At 39.3% G+C, this 22,922-nt stretch overlaps 1 long non-coding RNA gene across 1 annotated transcript in view; it reads right to left on the minus strand.

Moving 5' to 3' along the window:
- The window catches only part of LOC107987339 (uncharacterized), a 30,404-nt gene that overhangs the window by 88 nt on the left and 7,394 nt on the right, over window positions 1–22,922 (minus strand). The window lies entirely within an intron of this gene.

The following is a 22,922-nucleotide window of genomic DNA, read 5'->3' on the forward strand; positions in this document are numbered from 1 at the left end:
CTTATTTCATTTTTTTGCATAAAAATCTTTGATTGATTTGGGATTTATCCCAGGTAAACTATGCAATATGAATTTAACTCCCCCACACACCCACACACAGGGGTTTATCTATTTTTCCTCATTGATTTCAGATGCCATATATTATATGCCATTTATCATTCATTATATTCCCAGATATGAGTTTATGACTGTGATCCATCAATCTATTTGTATAAAACACTACTTCAAACAATTTTAATTTCACATTATGTTTTAATATCTGGTTAAACCATTTCTCAAATTTTCCTATATTCCTGTTTATGTTTTGTATCCTCCTAATTTGTTTTTCTAAATGATCTTTAAAAAATCTGCTCAGTAAATTCCCTTTCCTCCACCAGAAAAAAACTTGTGGGTATTTTTACTAGGTCATGTTCAAATCATAGCTAACTGAAAATGAATATTTTCACCAAGCTGCAAGTTCCCATGCAAGAAACTGGCAAAATTTTGATTTGTTCAAGTCTTCCTTTGGGTTCCTCTGGAGCATACTAAAGTTTTCTTCACACAGATAGTACATATTTATCAAGTTAATTTCTAGTTATCCTGTATTTTATTCCTATTGGAATACTATATTTTCCTTTTTCACTTCTGTAATATTCATTGTGTGTAAAGGTGTTGGGGAAACAGGCACGCCCCTTGTCATGGTGGGAGTGAACCTTTCTTGAGGGCAGGGTGATATTGGCCTTCATACCTAAAAATGCACACACTGTTTGTCCAGCAACCCCACTATTGGCAGTACTTCTATGGCTGGAATCATAAATGCCTTTCAAGATATATGGACAAAGATATTTACTACTGGGTTGCTCTAGTAGCAATCTTAATTGCAGGAATAGTTATATACTGGAATATCCCAGTGATTAATCCTATAAACCATTCAGAAGATTAAAGTAAATCTGTTATGTGCTGATATAGAAACAAGTCCAAGATACATTGCTAAGTTTAAAAAAAAAAGGTAACTACAGTGTTAATGGTATGGCCACTCTTGTGTAAATAATATTAGAAGGATGGACAGATATAAATAAAAATATTTTTTTTCCTGGAAGAAATCACAAAAACATCAACATTGAAGAGAAGGATTGGAGTAGGGAGGAAAGCATAGAAAGTGGTTTTTGCTTTATTTTATACTTTTGATCCCATTACCACCAACAGGAGTCATTTAAGTGGAAGGTTTATGAGTCATTTTTATTTTCCTCTTTATATATAAAAACAATATTATTGTTAAAATGTTTTTAATGTACTTTAAAAAATGTGCTTTTCAAATTTTCTAATTTTTCTTATTTATTTTGAGACTGAACCTCGCTCTGCCACCCAGGCTGGACTGCAGTGGTGCGATCACAGCTCACTGCAGCCTTGATCCCCTGGGCTCAAGTGATCCTCTTATTGCTTCAGCCTCCAGAGTTTCTGGGACTGTAGGCACATGCCAGCATGTCCAGCTAATTTTTAAATTTCTTGTGGAGACAGTGTCTTGCCATGTTGCCCAGGCTAGTCCCAAACTCCTGGTTTTAAATGATCTTCCTGCCTGGGCCTTAATGTACTTTTTTTTCTTTTTTTTTTGAGACAGAGTCTCCCTCCTTCGCCCAGGCTGGAGTGCAGTGGTGCAATTTCAGCTCACTGCAACCTCCACCTCCCTGATTAAAGTGATTCTCCTGCCTCAGCTTCCTGAATAGCTGGGACTACAGGCACATGCCACCATGCCTGGCTAATTTTTGTATTTTTAGTAGATACGGGTTTCACCATGTTGGCCAGGATGGTCTCGATCTCCTGACCTTGTGATCCATCTGCCTCTGCCTCTCCCTAAAGTTCTGGGATTACAGGCGTGAGCCAATGTACTATTTTAAGAAACAAATTTTAAAACAAAACCTAGGGGTACTTAAGAACCACCTGACATCAGATACTGTAGCTGTCATTTCCATATATCATGCAAGAAATTGACAGGACAAAAAAATCTGCAGCAATGATTCACTCTAAAACAAGCATTCAGCATCCTGGAGAAGTCTCCATTAATAAGAGTGACAAATGTAGGACTCATCAGGTAAGCAGAAAAGTATGCAATCTTTCCCCTGAAGGTACATTCAGGATATGCTGCTAGATAAACAAATCCAAAGGTAAGTCTCGTAAAGAATGCTAAGCCTCTCTGTATACCCCATGCATGGAAACCTGTCAAGGTAGGACTGGCCAGGTAAGCAGAAAAGTATGCAATCTTTCCCCTGAAGGGTATATTCAAGATAGGCTGCTAGACAAACAAATCCAAAGGTAAGTCTGGTAAAGAATCCTGAGCCTCTCCATACTCGCCATGCATGGAGTCAAGGTGTCTCATAAGCAGCTTCTTGGATGCAGGCGAGAGGGACTACTGCTCTAAAGCTTGTTCTGAACACCAGGGTTTACATCAAGGGTCCCCAAACCTGGGGCCACAGACTGGTATGGGGGTGCTGCACAGCAGGAGTTGAGTGAACATTACTACCTAAGCTCTGCCTCCTGTCAGATCAATAGCAGTATTAGATTCTCTTAGGAGCATGAACCCTAATGTGAACTGTGCATGCAAGGGACCTATGTTGCATGCTCCTTATGAGAATCTAATGCCTGATGATCTGTCATTGTCCTCCATAACCCCTAGATGGGACCATCTTGTTGCAGGAAAACAAGCTCAGGGCTCTCACTGATTCCACATTATGGTGAGTTGTATAATTATTTCAATACATATATAATGTAATAATAATATAAATAAAGTGTACAGTAAACGTAATGCACTTGAATCGTCCCAAAATCACCCCCACAACCCCATCTGTAGAAAAACTGCCTTCCATAAACCAGTCCCTAGTGCCAAAAAGGTTGGGGACCACTGGTTTAGAGCAAGTGTCCTCAAAATCCACACCCTTGTCCAGCAACACCTGAGAACTTGTTAGAAATGACAAACCTTGTCTGGGAGTTGTGGCTCATGCCTGTAATCCCAGCACTTTGGGAGGCTGAGGTGAGCATATCATCAGGTCAGGAGTTCAAGATCATCCTGACTAACACAGTGAAACCCAGTCTCTACTAAAAATACAAGAAATTAGGCAGGTGTGGTGGCACACACCCATAGTCCCAGCTACTCAGGAGGCTGAAGCAGGAGAATTGCTTGAACCTAGGATGCAGAGGTTGCAGTGAGACAAGATCATGCCACTGAACTCCAGCCTGGGCAACAGAGCCAGACTCTGTCTCAAAAAGACAAAAAAAAAAAACCAGAATATTTGGTTCCTACCTTAGACTTACAGAATCAGAATCTGAGCCATTTGTGTCTCACAACCTCCCCAGGGAGTTTGACTGCGCCAAAGAGTTTCACTCCTGCAATGGCCCTCCTCCACACACTCTCCTCTCCACAGGCAAGGAAACCTTTGCAGCCATAGGCCCAATCTGGAGGCCATGCAGACTTCTTCCTCAGTCTGCAGTGAGGCCGGATGGTGCCTATTTGTGTGCACTCCTAGGCCCAAGGCAGGGAAAAAACTAAGAGGAGGAAAGTGAGGATATAACTTACCACAAGTGCAAATTTTAAGGGAGCACCAAAAGCTCAATGATCAAGATGAATAAATATTCAATGTAATATTTTAAAAAATAAAAATCAATGTAAAACTTAATGATGAACAAAGTATCAATACTTTTCATAAAGATAAGATCAGGCTGGGTGCCAGTGGCTCAGGACTGTAATCCCAGCACTTGTGGGTGTCCCAGACAGGAGGATTGCTTGAGCACAGGAGTTTGAGACCAACCTGGGGAATATGGCAAAACTCCATCTGTACCAAAAAACACAAAAATTAGCTGGGCATAGTGGCATGTGCCTGAAGTCCCAGCTACTAGGGAGGCTGAGATGGGAGGATCGCTTGAGCCTGGGGAGACCAAGGATGCAGTGACCTGAGATTGCACCACTGCACTCCAGCCTGGGGTAAGAGATTTACTAAATAAATAAATAATTAAAAGATAGGATCACTGTTTTTTCCTTTCACTTCAAGCTCCAATATGACTCTCACGCTACTGTCACTGATCTTGTCTTTATTGTAAAACGTTGCCTTATTCCCCTCACCCTAATCCTGGCCCATCCCAAGATCTCCTTTCGTCCTCTAGTTCCAGATCCTCCAAATGCTGGGTGTGGACCTTATGGAAACCAGGGGCATGTTTCATCTGCTGTCAACAGATTACAAGGCTGCTGAACCAAAAGGGCAAAACCACATGTAGCGGAGACACTGTTTTATTTGAAAAACTGAATGGACTTTAGGTAGGAGTGTAAGCCTTGATGGAGGGCAACTGCATGTTGTCAATCAAACCTAAAAATACTACCCAGCACCAAGATCCCCTCTTCTTTGATAAAACTATATACAAACAGCATCTGTGAGTCATCAAACATGAGCCCTCAAACTCAGCCAGTCTCTACAGTTCAATATTCTTTAAATGTTTCAAATCTTTCAAGCTCTTCAAGCTATAATAAAATGAACCTTTATTGAGAGATCGATAATTTATATACATGTTTCCTCTTATGCACCACACTAAAATAAAAAATAAAAGTAGTTAATATGTTTAGAAGGCAGGGTTCTGGCTGGGGACGGTGGCTCACGCTTGTAATTGCAGCACTTTGGGAGGCCAAGGCAGGTGGATCACTTGAGAGTGGGAGTTTGAGACCAGCCTGGCCCACATGGTGAAACCCTGTCTCTACCAAAAATTCAAAAATTAGCTGGGCATGTTGGTGTGCGCGTACAGTCCTAGTTACTCAGGGGGATGAAGTGGGATGATCACTTGAGTCCAGGAGGTTGAGGTTGCAGTGAGCCGAGATCATGCCACTGCAATCCAGCCTGGCAGACAGAGTAAGACCTGTGTCTCAAGAAGAAAGCAGACAGAGTTCTGTACCAGTTGCTCTCCTCACTGCCTGGTAACCCCAGGTATGTGAACACTCAATTTCTTTGTATAAAATGGTGATAATAACATCAACGTGTCTTCCATCATAGAGTGGTTGTGAGGATCAAGTGGGATGACGTGTGTAATATACAGAGCACAAAACAATCACGGGCAGTGGCGCTGGCCATGGTGAATTGGGGGACTACCCACCCGGGGATGGTGATGACAACAAGGTGTGGGACCATGAAATCCTTCCCCATTCCCACCCACACCTCTTAACCTCCATGCTCCCAAGTCAGTGCACTAGAAATATTTTAGTGGTCAATCAACCACTTTATATTTAAATGCTCCCTGAATAAAACATAAAGCTTTAAAATTTTTATCTTATAATCTAAAAATGAATCTCTTGTCAAAACTAAGCAGTTTTGTGGCTTTAATCTTTGGTAAGCATGCTGTCAAAGTAAGTTTAGCTTCATGGTTAAAAGAAAAAAATAAAAATGTTCTCAATGATCTTAAAGCAATTAAAAAAAAGGCTCCTACTGCAAATATGATTAAAGGCCTTAATGTCTTGTTTCTATTTGAACCCTAACCTTAAAATACAAAAGAAAACATAGTTCTCATAAAGTGACCAATCCCTCAGTGTTACTCCTAGGCAAATAAACAAAGGAATGATTTCTCTATTTGGATAGACATACCAATTGCAGCCTGTTGGTCTGTTTCTCAACCTGCTTATCAGAGTAACCTCTCCACTATTTTGTTTTCTAATAGTTGCCTGATTTCGTTTACAAATTATGTAACCATGGGCAAGCTATATATCTCCCTCTCCATCTCTTGGGACCCTCATTTACAAAATGAAGACTAAATGGTCAATTGCAAAAGGATATTTCAACCTTAAAGGAGCTTTCAACTTTAAAATGCAATAATTTTAATGTTTCAATTTGGAGGCTAAGGTACCAGTTTCTAACTAAAAAGTAACATTGGATAATATAACAAATGTTTTCAATGTTAACTGAAAGAGTTCCCCAAAATCAGAGCTAAAGTTGGAATAAGGAACACCCACATGGCATGTGTAGGTTGCTGGAGCAAGGAACAAAAGGCTAGAAGATATCCGCTTCCAGTGGGCAGGAGAAACACCACTGCTGCCTGAGGGTTCCAGCCTTCTGCCTGCCCAGGCACTAGGGATTCTGGGCTAAGTGTTCCCCAAGGGAGTGTGGAGAGCTGTTCTGGGGAGTTCTAGGGAAGAGATGCCTGTCCAGTGGTGGGAGAGAAAACTAATGTTTTAACTATTGCTGAGGATAATGGGTCCCCTTCATCCTAGAGGAGAGCTACAAGGAAAAGGCATGAGTTATTCTGAAGTTACTTTGGCTTCCTGGCCTTTGACCAGGACCTGACTCTAAGGCTGAACCACATGAACTGTCTCATCATAAGTTAAAATTTCTAATTATAACTTCATAGTGTGAAGATGAGGTACACTGGTGAGGCTGTCTTATCCACCTTTACCCTTCAGAAAGAGAAAACACCAGCCTATTCAGAGTGGGCAGACGCTGTGAGGGCTGATCACACTTTTTTCTCCACTTTCTACTCTGTCATGTTCTGTACTCTTAATTTACAGTGACCACACTCACCTCATCTGGGAAGGACACCCACGTGCTCCCACAATACCATAATCTTGGCTCACTGCAACCTCTGCCTCCTGGATTCCAGTGATCCTCCCACCTCAGCCTCCTGAGCAGCTGGGACTACAGGTGTGCACCAACATGCTTAGCTAATTCTTGTACTTTTAGTAGAGATCAGGTTTCATCACATTGGCCAGGCTGGTCTTGAACTCCTGCTCATCTTCATCCCGAACCAGGGCTTTGTCGTGCTGCAGTGCAAAGGTCAGCTCTCTCTTGGCTTCTCCCTGACTTGGGCAGGGGCAGAGTCTCATCTCCTTATGAGACAGAGGGCTTGATGTGGATCCCAAGGCCAGTAACAGAGACATCCATGGGCCAGGGAAATAAAGTAAACAAGAGATACGAGCCAGGGGAAAAGCAATGAACATCGCGGCCTCATCTTGCCCAAGGGGGCAGCATTTTGCCCTTCTTGCCTGGTTACTGCTAAAGGGGAAGTGGGCCCAATGGTGCCAGAGCTTCTAACTCTTACTTTCAATAAGTCAGAAATCTTAATCCTCCTAATCTTTAAATGTGGCAAGTAATTATAATTTTATTTTCAATCCCATATGGCCAAAGCCAAGACCTGTCAGGTTGCAGAGTATGGATGGGGCATTTGATAAAAGTAGGGCACGGATGTCTGCCCTCCTTCCTATCTCTGACCCTGGCACTGTCCAGGCGCAGTGTGACCATCAGTCATGCAGGGTGGAGGATGACATTCTGTTCATTCCCACACCAACACAAGGTACATCAAAGGCTTCAAGGACAAATCTGCAGGTATTTGATACTGGCCTCTATTTCCTAATTCTTTTTTTTTTTCTATATTGGCATTGAGACAAACACAAAGTTTAGAACCACATGATTACATTTTGAATCTTTTGGAATTTTTTGTTGTTGTTGTTCTGGACAGTATTACCAATAATCAGCTTTTCTAAAATCAAAATACAGAAACTACTGCTGAAAAGCTGTTTTGGGTGGTATGAGAGTCCAAACATCTTTTTAAATAAGTGTTTTGTTTTCCTTTCAGAAAATAACTCCATATAAATAAATAAACCATTATTCCAAGAGGTAAAAAAAAGGAAAAGAAAGGAATGAAAATAGAGAAAAAAAAATCCACAAAACCACACATTTCTTAACACTCCTGGGATAAAGGAAATTTTGTTTTTGCTATGGCTATGTTTTGTTTAGGAAAAACATTCTGCAGCCCTATTTATTCCCTTGAAATAAAGCCCTTCAGACATTTGCAAAGGGCCAAAGTGAGGTCTTTGCTATTTCAGACTTTATTATTGGGAAAGTATCAGCCTCCAACACAAGAAAGAAACCACTGCATACAGCAACTACATATTTCACTCGGCTCTATAAAGCAGGAAACAGCAGGCTGAAATGCAAAAGTTACTATTATTTTGCCTGGAAATAATTTCTGACTTTAACTTAATCATTCAACGTCTGACTTTGCTTTTCTAATTACATCAGCTGATGGATCTGTCAATATCAAGGAGCGCAATGTGAGAAAGACACCATCTCCCTCAGGTAAGTTCGCTCACAGGTGAAGCTAATAATGACACTGCTCAACCAAATCTCTTTCTTTTTTTAAAAAAAGTTACTTCAAGACTGCTAGTGCTATAACATCAATGTGCCTGGGCTTTGCAGTAGATCCAATTTAGCAAAACATTAAAATCAATCACTTTTCAATGCAGGACTTTTTATTGTATAGGTAAGAAATGGGAGTCCAATTTTTAAAACAATGCTTGCAGAAGACAAAGCCTATTTCTTCCACATGTGTCATTTCTAAATCTGTGGAATAAGTGAGAATGTTTATTCTAGGCCTCTAAAAATTTAGACTTCTGTCATCTTTTCATTAAACAAATTCATGTTTCTGAAACTTAAAAAAAAAATAAAACACATACATATCCAGGCTTAGGAGACCACACCATTAAAACACTATTTTTAAAATTTGAAGTAAAGTTTCCATAATATAAAATTAATCATTTTAAAGTGAACAATTTGGTGGCATTTAGTACACTCATGATGTTGCAAAACCATCAACTCCATGTGTAGGTTCTAGAACATTTTCATCAACCCAAAAGGAAACCCCACATCCATTAAGCAATTACTCTTTCCATTCCCCTCTCTCCCCCAGCCCTAGCAACCACCAATATGCTTTCACAAAAAACTATTCTTTTTAAAAATTCTATTTTAATTGATTTTTTGTGTACATTTAAGGTGTACAACCTGATGCTTTGATGTACACATACTTAGTCAAATGATTACTACACTCAAGAAAGCCAACATAACAATCACATCACAAAGTTAGTTTTCTTTTTTGTGTGTGGGAAGAGTACCTAAAATCTATTCTCTTAGCAGATTTCCAGTATATAATATTATTAGCTATATTCCCCATGTTGTACATTAGATCAGTCCCCATGATGTGTATTAGATCTCTAGATTGACTTATCATACATAACTGCAACTTTGTACCTTTCACCTACATCTCCCCATCTCCCTGACCACCGCCCCCCAAACTACAGTTCTACTCTCTGTTTCTGTGTATTTGATTTTTAGTTTGATTGCACATAATATGTGAGATTATGTAGTATTTTTCCTTCTGTGTCTGGCTTATTTCACTTAGCAGAATGTCCTCTAGGTTCACCCATGCTATTGAAAATGGAGGATCACCTTCTTTTTTAAAGCTGAATAATATTCCATTGTGTATATATACCACAGTTTATTTATCCAATCATCTATTGATGGACATGTAGATTGTTTCCATATACTGGCTATTATGAATAATGCTGCAAATAAGATGGAGTGCAGATATCCCTTTAACATACTGATTTCATTTCCTTTGGAGAAATACCCAGTAATGGGGTTGCTAGATCATATGGTATTTCTATTTTTCCTTTTTGATGAATCTCCATATTGTCTTCCATAATGACTGTACTAGTTTACATTCCCACCAACCATGTGCAAGGTTTCTCTTATTCTCCACATTCTCACCAGCACTTGTTATCTCTTGTATTTTTTATAGTAGCCATCCTAATACATGTTAACTCATATCTCACTATGGTTTTGATTTGCATTTCCCTGATAATCAGTTAGTTAATAAGCATTCTTTCCTACATGTGTGGGCCACTCTTATATCTCCTTTGGTGATATGTCTATTCAGGCCATCTGCCCATTTTTCAAGTTGTGTTATTTGTGGTTTTCCTATTGAGCTGAATGAGTTCTGAAACACTGTTCTTAATAATTTAATTAAACCATGGATGAACACACAGTGGAATCTCAGTAAGATTAAAATAATTTCTTTAAGCTTATATAAACCTAAGATTCTGCAGGTCAGTCAGAGAGTAACTGGCAAAGCAACAGATGCCTGATCAAATGAATTAAGTTGCAGGCTGTCGGACCACAAATGACTGTTAAACATCAGACTGCCATGACAATGGGAGAGGGGGAAAGGTAAATTGTTATTGCTTTGCTTGTCATTTCAGAGAATCACACATAGTCAGTAAATTACACACACACACACATGCACACACACACACACCCCACTGTGCTGTAAAAATTCAGTGTCCAGGTATTTGTAATGAGACTGCCTCAATAATTTCTATTGACTGTATCTATTAATAAAACTCAGAAGATGGCATTATTGCTCACCTCACCAGTCCATTTTGTCAGAGAAGACACAGATTAAGATATATCAAGAACCCTTTTTAAGAAACACCAAGTGCCCTGATGCTTAGATTTAGTAGTGGGTACTCAAATATTAAAAGCAACCAGCTAGAAATGGAACCTGGAGTATTAATAAAGTATTTCATACATTTAAAAGTACTTCTGTCAGAGAAGACACAAAGGATCACCAGTTATTCAGAACTGGTAACCAAACTCACCCATACCAAATCCAAGAGGAGCTTTTTGTGACTCAGAAGAAAGGATATTGTGAATGTTTTAAGCCATTTTCCTAAGGAGTATGATAGCTGACATTCTTGGTAGTTCTTCTCATTTTGAGAGTACATTGCACTGATGGCATCAAAGACAGCCATTAATGAATATGTACAAATAATATAAAAATTAAACTACTGTATTTACAATGCAAAATGATTTGTCATATAAATCCTGTCCGGATTTTCAATTATAAAGTCTCAAGACTTAATTTCTTCATGTCCTTATGGGTTTTTTCCAGGCACTCCAGCTTCCTGCCACATCCCAAAGGTGTCCACGTTAGGTTAACAGGCATGTCTACATTGTCCCAGTCTGAGGGAGTGTGAGAGTGTGTGAGAGACTACTCCTGCAATTGAATGACATCCTGTCCAGGGCTGGTGCCTGCCTTGCATCCTAACCTTCTGGCACAGCCTCCAGCCATCCAAGAAGCTGAACTGGAATACATCAGTTGGAAAATGAATGAAGGAATGAATACAAATAATTGTAAAATAAAAATGTGTACAGTCCATGATAATCACACAGATGCGCAACCATTAACAATGTGGGATGAAAGCACCTGGTGAGCCCACCGGATTTGTTATTGTTTTTTAACTTCCTGGTGGGGGGAAGTGCTTCTTACGAATTTCACTTTGTAAACATTTATTCCCTGATTTCACCCACTACCGCTACAACCACTATCACTCACTGTTTTACAAAAAATTGGGCAAGTCATTATCTTATTTGTTTTTATTAATCTTTCTTTACTGTATGTACAGCTCACATTTATTTCCATGTTTAGTATTAGAAATATTTTGGCCTTTATGGAGAAGTTTGGTAATGTTTTTGTGAACAGAAATATGCCATAGGAATTTAAGTCTTGATTTTCTCAATTAGCCTATGGTAAAATTGGTTTCATGATACATTGTTTCATTTACAGTTGCAGTTTCCAAGAACCTACTGACAATGTTAAGTGAGGACTTACTATGCAGAAATAAACAGTACCAAAAACAATGCTGCTGCAGCCAAGCTCTTAGAGAAAACATATAAGAAAAATAATGCGTCTTTAAAGGCACTTTTGAGGAGTCTCAGTTTCAACTAAGAGTATGATTGCTCTGATATCTTCTCAGAAAAGTGTCTTGAAGGCACAGGATCCCACTAAAGGAGAACCTTTGATGGGTATCAGGTGCTGAGTCTGCAAACACTCTCTGACCCACAGTGATTATAAATATCCAGTATAAGCCAGACATGCTTAATTTCAGGGTACGATGAAAGAAAATAACCAAAGTAAATATTTGAAAAGCAAATTCAACTTTTCAGTTTAAATTTTAAAAATGTTATTCAAAGACATTTATAAAGAGAGAGTGACATAATTAAGGAAAGCAAAATGCAAATAACATGTTACTGACCTTCTCCATGTCCCAGGACTTCCTGCCCACAGTGCAGAAATAGAAGGCAGAGGACAGAAGTCTAAGGTAGAGGTGAACAAGGCATTATGCCAGAACTCTCTGAGGAATATGAGCTCCATCTGATCTGTGCTTCCTTGGATGAAAAGGCTGCCACTGTAACCAGGTCTCCTTAGTCACCTCTCTGCTTTCCTAATGAGAATCATTTCCATAGTTCCTAATAGTTTCTATCACGATGCTTTTCTAAAATCCCACTCTTATATATCTTTACAGGGGCAATTGCCAAATTGCCCCACATTGCTCTTATCAATTCATAATCCATCTATGGAATGAGACCATGCCATATTGACTTCTCAGCAAAGTGGCAGCTGCTGAGCACAACTGCATCAGGATCACCTGGGGGTGGGAAGAATGTGTTCACATTAGGAATGAGCATCCCAGGCTGTACCACAGACCTACTCAATCAGACCAGCATTTCAACAACCATGCTTATTGACTTGTTTGCTCACTCAAGTCTGAAGATGATTCTGTGAGAGGCAGTCTAGAGCCATGTTTAAAAAAAAAAAAAACACTGTGAAGCCAAGGGTGAGCTCACTGAGAAACAGTTCCCAATCAATTCATAAGGTCTGCAAGGTGGCAGGAGTGGGAGAATCAGGGTAGATGGATATTTAAGACACCAATCTTTCCTTCTCCTCCCCTCCTCATTCCCAGACTGCCTAGAGAACTCCTACTCATCCTTCATAACTCTTTCTAGAAGAGACTTCTTCAACCCACAAGCCAAGGCCTCCCTCCTTGTGTCAAGGCACTATCTAGATCTAGTACTCACTATCACAGTTTTCTAGAATGTCTTTCAGTGAAGCCAGGGACTTTTTCTTGTTCATTTTGTTCTCCTCACAACTAGTTTTTTGCCTAGTACATAACTAGAAGTCAATAAATCCTTATCAAATTAATACATGATTGAGAAAACAAAAACAAAGGATAGAGCAAATACAGAACCAGTTACTAAGAAGGACAAGACAGCAAAACCCAGCCTCCTACTCTCCACCATGCTGTCTCCCATAAAGATCTCAGGTCTTCCAAGGGTAAGGAAAAAAAAGCTGATAAATGAGGACTGGTGGCCAGCAACCTCCTCACTGCAGCCAGGCTTTATATCTAGGCCATAAACACCTCCTTGCTCACAGGAGCTAGACCCTGTGATCAGCAAACAGCTGCAACAACAGCAGCGTGTGGCCTGCCCAGCTTGTTTAGGTGGTGTGTGTTTGTTAGAAAAACTTGCTCTGTGGTGTTTCTTTATAACGACTACTTGGAGAAATGATGTTATTTTTAGGGGGTGGGGAATATCAAAGAGGCTTATTTGGCAAAAGCCACAATCTGCTCACTTCCACTTTGTGTGAGTATGTGAAAATCCTCACTCTAGTAGCCAGGAGTTTTCAAATCCACTGGGAAGAGACTCCAAAAACAGGTTGGTGGCAGGAAAACACAACCCTAGGATGACAAGTGTGCAAATTAACACTGAAACCATGCAAATGACCAGTGCTGACAGATGAAAACACTGAGGTCAGCTATATGTAAGGATTAAGAAAATTCTAAATAGGGAAGCATTCTGCCCACAAATGTCATTATGAGAGGACATTAACACCAGTCTTTTATGGTTCTCAAAGCCCAGTATATTGGTGTTGGGGGTGTAGTTGTCTGCAGTGTTCAAAGGACAGTGGCACTGAAAACTTAGGACTCAGAGCCGCTCTCCTCTTAACTCTTAAAGCTCTCAGATAATCAACTAGTAGAGTCAAAATAAACTAATTGCGGACTACTAATGCACATGGCAAAAACTCAACGGATATGCTAGTCAACAAATTCTTCATCTGCTGTTCTGTCAAGATGATAATGAAACATCAGACAATCTGTGAGAACATGATGCCAAGAGGAAGAAATACAAATTGGGCTCCTATATTCCTTATGAAAATTAGAAGATTCTAAACTAATCAATTAGCTTTACATCCCCCACCACCTCCCCCAATCTCTGCATAATCATTTCACTTCATGAAATTTCTTAGGAATCCACTTACTATTCTGTGATCATAGACAGCAAATGAAAATTAAGTTCTCTGTAGAACAGGAGAAACTTTGCATTGTAATGTAAAACGAGCTGATTAAGGGCACTTAATCCAAGAACAGCTAATTCTTAAGACCTCAAAGCAGAGTGGATTAAACATAAGGAAGGACGTATGCAGCCCGCTTCTGATCACACAGAAGAATGGATTCTGAGACTTGACAGGCTGCCTTATTAACAATTACAGTAACTAGGACTGTTCTTTTCAAAAGAATGCCTTGCAAGTTAGAATAAATACCCCATCTTTGGATATCTGAGGTAGAAAGAATACCCCTTCTTTTAGAAAATAAGTTACTCTGGGCTTTGGGAGCATCCTGAAAGAAGAGAGGAAGCTCAAGGAGAATGGTTTATCTTTCTGAATGGTTTGTCTTTCTAATTTCATCTCACTCAACTCCTTACATATTGGAAGGTGATTGCAAACTCTGGTATGTTAGGAATAAATTTCTATTAAAAAGCAATAAACACCCTCCACTGACCAAACTCTTAGAAAAGGATTACAGAACCACTTTCCACTTTGAAAAATTCCTGAGGTCGCCCCTAAGAACTTTTGTTTATGTGGGTTACATCTATTTATATTCATCAAATTAGAACACTTAAAACTAAGACATTTTAAAAATAAGAATATCCAAGCACACATGTTAATTAGTGATGATGCCATTATGTGTCATGTAACCAATGGAAAACTCCATTGCACACTTGTCAGAGGAGAAGAGTGAAAAAGGCGAACAAAGATCTTAGTATCATTTTGAAAATATTTGGGACCTCCCAGGGGTCCCCAGATCACACTCTGAGAACCACTGGACTAGAGTCATGTCTGGTTGACACAGAAGTGTGTTAGAGTTCTAGAGATGTAACTCTTTCAAGAACTACTTCTGTCATAAAAAGAAACATTCTGTTTATTACATGTCAGTAAAAAGTTTTTTTTTAAATAATAGATGCCAGCACTATAAGAACTTTAATAAGTATATGTAAAGCTTTCTGGTAGCTGGCAGGAAAACTGGCTCTTTAATCTTTTACAGTTCACCACATTTGTTTTACAGCCTCTGCAAGTACAGATGAGTCACTGCTTCTACACCGAGCTGTGCAGTGTTTCTACCAAGGGCCAGGCCTGTCTGGGTAAATCCATTCCCTTCAGCAAACACTGCAGGCAGGCAAGTCACCTTAAGAAGCAGTTTAACTCAGTGGTTAAGGGCCCAGGCTCTGGATTTAGACTTCCTGGGTTCAAATCCTGGCTTGTGTTCTTGCCAAATGACCTTGGGTGAGTTCTTAATCTTCCTCCAAGTATAAAAAGGGACAATAACAATATTTACCTGGTAGGATCTTCACAGGAAACCTATGAAGGCTTACATTTCTAGGACATAGTAGTATTCAATAAATGCCAGTTATCATTATACCTTCTTTTACGATATACAAAGCATCCCAAAAGTCTCAATACAGTTTTATGCTGAAATTTCAGAACTATAAGCATTACAAACTTACCTAAAATACCATTCATGTAGATCTATAAATTTTAAGTAATAAAATTTTTATTTTTTGTTTCAGTCCTGCTGATTCAAAGTGGCTACTGCTGACTGAAACAAAAATTACATTATTAATCTTATGGGGGTGTGGGGAATAATTGTACACACAACTGTTAGACAAAGAAGATATTTTACCATTAAGACTTAATTCGATAGACATTGCTGTGGTCTGAGTATGTCTCCCCAAAATTCATGTGTTGGAAACTAAATCCTCAATGCAACAGTGTTGGGTGGTGGGTCCTTTTCAGAGGTGCTTAGGTCAGGAGGGCTCAGCCTTTATATGTGGATTAATATCATTATAAATGGTTTCACAGACAGAGTTTGGTCCCTTTTGCCTTCTGCCTTCCACCATGTGAGGACACAGCATTCCTCTCCTCTGGAGGACACAGAAACAAGGCACCATCTTGGAAGTGGAGATCAGCCCTTACCAGACAACAAACCTGTCAGCAACTTGATCTTTGACTTCTTAGCCTCCAGAACTGCAAGCAAGCAAGCAAACAAACAAACTAACAAAAAACTCTGTTCTTTATAAATTACCCAGTCTTGGGTATTTTGTTTCAACAACAGACAGTGGACTAAGACAGACATTTACTGAGCACCTACTATGTGCCATGCTTGTGCTAGGTACCAGGAAGATAAAAGGAAACAAGACAAGATGATTAACCAATGGAGGTTTACAAAGCCAGCAGGGGAAAGTGTGGAAACACATTGATATAGAATGTGTTCTGCTGTATTACTCAGGTCCTGGTATGCTCAGCATGCTGGGGTTTCAGGTAATGGGTGATATTCCCAGGATACAGCCTAAAGGAAAAGGAATAGTGTTCCCCTCACTGACATCTGGAAGACATTTTCCCTCTTTGTGATGTGAATTTTTCCTTCACTTGTCATTAATTCTGTTCACCTTCAAGAAGCCCATCTATCTATAGCTTTGCCTTTGCAGTATCTTTTCTATAGTAGATCTTTATTGAGCTTTTCCATCTTTGTAAATTGTAAATTGTCCTTTCAACATGCATAATGACACACTCTATTTACATATCATAGCAACAGCCTCTTATTTAGATGTCAAATTCCAGCAACTAAAAACTCAGATCCACAAAACATCAAGAAGCCAAATAATTCTCAAAACCATGATACTTTCAATAAACTTCAGTCCCCTTTGTGCAGTCCTTCAGGCCATATAGCTGTTCTTTTTAAATACACATTTATAATGAGTCTGCTCATCTGTTTTTCTAGCAGATTAGAAGTACAAAAATCAGGGGAGGCATTTGAAAACATGGTGCTCAGCTTGATGAATTCCCTAAAAGTTACAACCCAGCACTAGTAGATTTTCCTCCCTTTCCCTTTCCCTTTCCCTTTCCCTTTCCCTTTCCCTTTCCCTTTCCCTTTCCCTTTCCCTTTCCCTCCCCTCCCCTCCCCTCCCCTCTCCTTTCCTTTCCTTTTCTTTTCTTTCTAACAGGGTCTCACTCTGTCACCAGGCTGGAGTGCAGTGATGCCATCACAGATCACTGCGGCCTTCATCTCCCAGGCTCAGGTGATTCCCCCTCTCTAGCCTCCTGAGTAGCTGGGACCACAGGTGTGCACCACCACATCCAGCTGTTTTTTTTGTTTTGTTTTGTTTTTTTGTATTTATTGTAGAGATGAGGTTTCGCCATGTTGCTTCGGCTAGTCTTGAACCCTTGGGCTCAGACAATCCACTTTCCTTAGCATCACAAAGTGCTGGAATTACAGGTATGAGCCACTGTGCCTAGCCACTGCTGTGTTTTCTGAAGGAAATTAGTTTTAACAAAACCAGAAAGGACTAAGTAATATCCACAAAGTATATCAGACACCTAAACTCTTACATGAAGAGTTACATGACCTAGTGAAAAACTATTTTTAATTTTCTCCTATCTCAAAACATTGAAAATTACAAATCCTAGCACTTTAGGAGGCTGAAGCAGTAGCTTCTCCTTTAAACATTTAAAATTTAGTCAGATACGGACGTGTGTGCCTGTATCCCAGCTGCTTGGGAGGCTTAGGTGGGGGCATTGCTTAAGCTCAAGGGTTCAAGGCTACAGTGAGCTGTGATTGTGCCACTGCACTCAGTCTGGGTGACAGAGCGACACCCTGTTTCTAAAATAATAATAAGTAAATAAATAAATGTTTAAAATGAAACTCAACTCTACATTAAAAATTTTTAATTTTTCTTAAAAATTCTAGTCCATGTGCAAAACTCACTGGCTTTAAATAAGCTGTCACTTATATCTAGTCAATATCATTATGCTATAGAAAAAAAGTTGAAAAAGGAACATATAGAATTATTATCCATTGTTGTTTATTTAAATGCTAGAAAAAAAACTCTAAGATTTATGTACAATAAGTTTTGAGAGAAGTTTATCATTTTTGGTTCCTGTAACTTTTAGTTATTTGACATTTGTAAACTAAACTAGAAAACTAAGAAAATTAAATGTGATAACTGAAGCCAAGGCATTTTTAAGAACATGAATTTTCCATATTATTGACTTATTTCAACACTTTGAGTGGACATAGCTTTATTGCAAATTTTTATGAATTTTAGAGTTGATTCAGAAATTACAATGTAAGTATTATGTGAAATCAGATAATAAGGTAATATGTAAAATATGCCTGGTGGAAGGAGTAAATTGTGTGGATTATTCTGGCCCTGCAAAATACAGAAGTGTCTCAATTTCTCTTTTTCCACTGTGATTTTTATCTGTTGTGTTATTTTGATATTTGTACATTTATTGGGAGCTGGCAGGGTGAGTTGCACATTGGTAGCATTTATATTAACTAAATTTTGTTTTCATTTTAGAAACAAATTTCTCCTCTCTTCATTTTTTCTGCTGCCCAAGCCCAGCAGGCTTATAAATAAATACACAGCCCACAGGGAAGACTTGAGGAGGTTCAAGTAGACATTTCATTTGAATTTCCTGAGCCTGGTTTTATCTTAACAGCCCTATACTCTTTGGACCACATCTGGGCAAGCGAAGTGAAGTGGGAGATAAAATAATTGGATCAATGATGTCAACAATGAATGCTGCTGTCCCAAACCAAAACCACACATTTCAGACAGAGGCTAGGTGGGGAATATATATATATATATATATGTGTGTGTGTGCATGTGTGTGTGTGTGTGTGTGTGTGTGTACCTAAATCTTCTCATTTTCTCCTTTTTTGTTAAGGGTAGAAATATCATGTAAGAGGCCTGTTACACATACAATTAATGTGAGAGACACATGAGCAGATGTCACTTGAGCCTCATTTTCCATGCAAAAATTCAGGATTTATGGTCTAAAACCATAGAGGATATTTTAAAGCCAGATGATTCCAGAAAATCTGAGACATGTGTCCATCAGCTGTGATGTGGCCCACTCTCTCCCACCTACCCACCGCAGAATTTCTTGCCCTTCATAATGTAATCTCCCTACTTGAGGCTAGCCAGACTTCTTCAACAAACGGCAGACAAAGCAGGCTTGGTCCCAATGTAAAATGGAGTCTCAGAATGCACTACTCAGCCATTTTGGAGAGTGAATTGAAAAGGCCATGCCACAGACACCCTTGGGCAGCACAGCTTCTGTGACAATATGGGCCAGTGCCAGGAATAGGAAGGATCAAGTTAAATGTTTGTGATCCAATAACAAAACTACAACATGGGCCCCTTTAAGTAAGACTTAGGTAGAAGCTAATAAACTGAATCTAATTTTCTGTTGACCATCTTTGACAAGGAATAAGCTCTGCTATAATAAGTTTCCTAGGCAATTCAAATATAGACATTACAGTGGAGCTTAATTAAAAATAAAAATAAAAAAACTTTTCACAAAGGAGTCTGTCTCCTCAAATAGACTCTGAGGTGGTTTAAGTTGGAAGCACATAGTTCTTTAAAACTCTTACATGAATAATCAAGAATAATCATACATTAAAAATACTTTTTATAATTCCATTTTTAATTAAAATATATGCACATACATAAATACACACACATATATGTATGAATTTTCCGCTAGGAAACCCACACCAAGAACTTAGGGTTTGTCTGTAACAACTGAACACACTATCACACTACAACCCAATGGCCTGGCCACAGACAATAGTAGATGCTTCAAGGGAAAGAATAGAGCCCTTTCAGCCAATTATACAATTACATGATATGACCATGTTCACATTATCAAAGGGAGGTAGACCAAATGACCTAGCTACTTCAAATCAATAACCCCATTTACCTCAATTATATGGTAGACAGAGTCCAAATAATCTGAGTAATTATTTCAATTCATTCAGATGCTGTAGTTTTGGCCTGTGTGTGCACAACTAATTTTTCCTTCTGGTATACACACCCTTAAACCATCAGCAAATACCAAAATGCACAACAGCAAACTCCTATCAGTTTTATCTATTAGCAGTGTAAACAAATTCTCTCCACTATCTGGCAGATTAAAATTTGTTATACTCTTAATAATCCAGGTTGAGATTTTCTTTTGTGACAACAACTCACTGGACCATGGAACTTTAGAGCTAGGAAGTACCATCCAGGGCCAACAGTCTAAAAGCCAGCTCCTGGAAGCAGTCCAACCAGAAATCCAGCCTGCTCACTCATAGCACGTAAGGCAAGGAGGTCTGAAGCTCAGATGCTTGGGTTCCAATCCTGGCTCTGCCACTTACTAGTTGAGCGACCTTGGCAAGTCCCTAAACCTCACCAAGCCTCACAGCCCTCTTCTGTACAACTGTGGTAATAAGGGAATCTGATTTATAGAGACAGTACAAGGATTAAATGAGACAATTAACAGAATGAACTTAGCATGCTTCTTGGCACATAACTACTGTTGTTAAGTCCTTACTATTATTATTTTAACAGCAGCATCACCTTTAATAGGTTCCCCCAAAGGATGTGTCCATGTCCTAATCCCTAGATCCTGTGAATATTACCTTATATAACAAAGGATGTGATTAAGTTAAAGACCTTGGGAAGAGGTGCTTATCCTGTTTTATACAAGTGGTCCCTAAATGCAGTCACAGGGATCCTTATAACAGAGAGGCACAGAGAGTTTTGAGACAGACACACAGGAGACGACATAGGCATATGGAGCAGAAGGTGATATGAAGACAGAGCAGAGAGCTGAGGCTATGAGCCAATGAATGCAGATGGTTATCAGATGCTGGAAGAAGCAAGGAATATATTTTCCCTTTAGAGCCTCGAGATGGGGTGAGACTGTGTTGACACCTTGATTTCAGACTTCTGGCCTCAAATGCTCCCAAAGACTACATATCTATTGCTTTAAACCACCACATGTGTGATATTTGTTACAGACAGCAGCCTCAGGAAATGAATATACTACCTCAATGGGTGAAGCTCTTGTTTGACCTTTAAACTGCAACTTGCAGATGTTAACAGTAACATGATAAGGCCAAAGATAAAGGTGACTAAAAAACGAGAAACACCAAGGTCTGGTGTTATGAATTGAGCTTAACAAAAGTAAAGAAGCAGAAGAATGCAAGAGACAGCGAGCAAAGAGTTACGGTTGAAGTATACACAAGGGTTCAGGGAAGGAAACCCAAGAAGCATGAAGCTAGAGCCTCACACTGTAATGGGTCTTATCCACTAGAGACAGAAATCTACAATGCCAGTGCATTGTTTGTTTCTGAATAACATGTTTACCCATTCACTACTCTGTGCATTTTCTTTTTCTTTTATTTATTATGCTTGGAGTATGTACAACTTCTTGAATCTATGGGTTGATCTCTCTTACAAATCTGGGGAAATTCTTAGCCTAAAACATTGCTTTTGTCTCACTCCCTCCCACTCTGCTCCTTCTGAGACTCCAATTACACATATTTTAGACTTTTCATTGTGTCCCACTTGTCTCTTATGCTTTTTCTATATGTTCAATTTTTCTCTCTGTGCACTTCAGCATAAATCATTTCTATTAACCTTTCTTCCAGGTCACTATGCTTGTTTCCTGCTTATATGATCTGTTAAAACCGTATCCATTGAGTTCTTAATTGCAGATATATTTTCCAAGTAATAGAAAGCCTATTTGATTAACTATAGATTCCAATTCTCTGTTTAAATTTTTCATATTTTCATCTAATTCCTCCATTAAAAATTTATTTTCTTGAACATATTAATTCATTATTTTAAAATCCCCCTTTTTTTTGCTAAATTTAATTCTATTCACTCTGGATCATCTGTGGATCTGTTTCTATCATTTGTTTTTCTCTCATTTTTGGGGGATGGTCACATTGACACACTGAGTAATTTTTTTTTTATTGAATACCAGACATCATGTATTTCTAATCATGTATTAGAAAGTTGAAAAGATTTTGATGAAGTTTTCTTCCTCAAAAGTTTGCTCTCCTTTCTTCTGCCAGGAAGATAGAGTTGGGGATGGGGGTGCTGGCTAATGATCTAAACCAATCAGGAACTCTTACAAGACTCAGGCTGCTCCTAGCTTATGTCCTTGGCTAGGACTTAGCTGTCCTGGCCTTCATTGAGAGCCTGGTGTGTCTGTGATGACCCCACCCCTTGCAACCTCCAAAAGCAAGTCCTAAACTGTAATCCTTATTTTCTCAGCACCAGAAGATTACTGAACACCACTTCTGCTTTCCAGAGGGATTCTGGTTATCTTTTGAACTTCTCATCCCATGCAGTCCAGAATTGGGCAACTGTCTTGAAGGGAAAGCCAACTGTGAATTTCAGGTTCCTCGAGTCTCCAATTTTGTCTCTCAACCCCAGTCCCAAGAGAATACTAGGTTTATTTTTCTCAGAGCTGCAACACTCCATCTAAACAAAGCCCAGGTCCACATTATTTTGTCACCACCCAGAATTAGAAATCCCCCATAAATAAAGTAGCTACAGACCATCAGCTCATCTCTCCTCAGCTCTCTTCTTTTTGATATTTTAGCCCCCCTACTCCTCATGTTCCAACATGTCTTTAAACAGAATGGTGCTTTCTGTATTTTATATGGTACTTCTTGGGATCGTTAGTTTGCCTCAGACTACCCAATCCTAGCTAGAAACAAATCTCTGCTTTATATTTTTCAAAGTGCTTTCATTGTCATAATTAATTTCTGCCATATAAACTGATAAGAAAAAGATGGCAGGGCCAGGCACAGTGGCTCATGCCTGTAATCCTAGTACTTTGGGAGGCCAAGGCAGGTGGATCACGAGGTAAGGAGATGGAGACCATCCTGGCTAACATGGTAAAACCCCATCTCTACTAAAAATACAAAGAAATTAGCCAGATATGGTGGCAGACACCTGTAGTACCAGCTACTTGGGAGGCTGAGGCAGGAGAATGGAGTGAACTTGGGAGGTGGAGCTTGTAGTGAGATGAGATCGTGCCTCTGCACTCCAGCCTGGGCAATGCAGCAAGACTCTGTCTCAAGAAAAAAAAAAGCAATATGTTTTACTCTGATCTTTTAGAACACA

This window comes from Homo sapiens, chromosome Y, assembly GCF_000001405.40.
Source record: "Homo sapiens chromosome Y, GRCh38.p14 Primary Assembly".
In the NCBI taxonomy this organism is placed as follows: domain Eukaryota; kingdom Metazoa; phylum Chordata; class Mammalia; order Primates; family Hominidae; genus Homo; species Homo sapiens.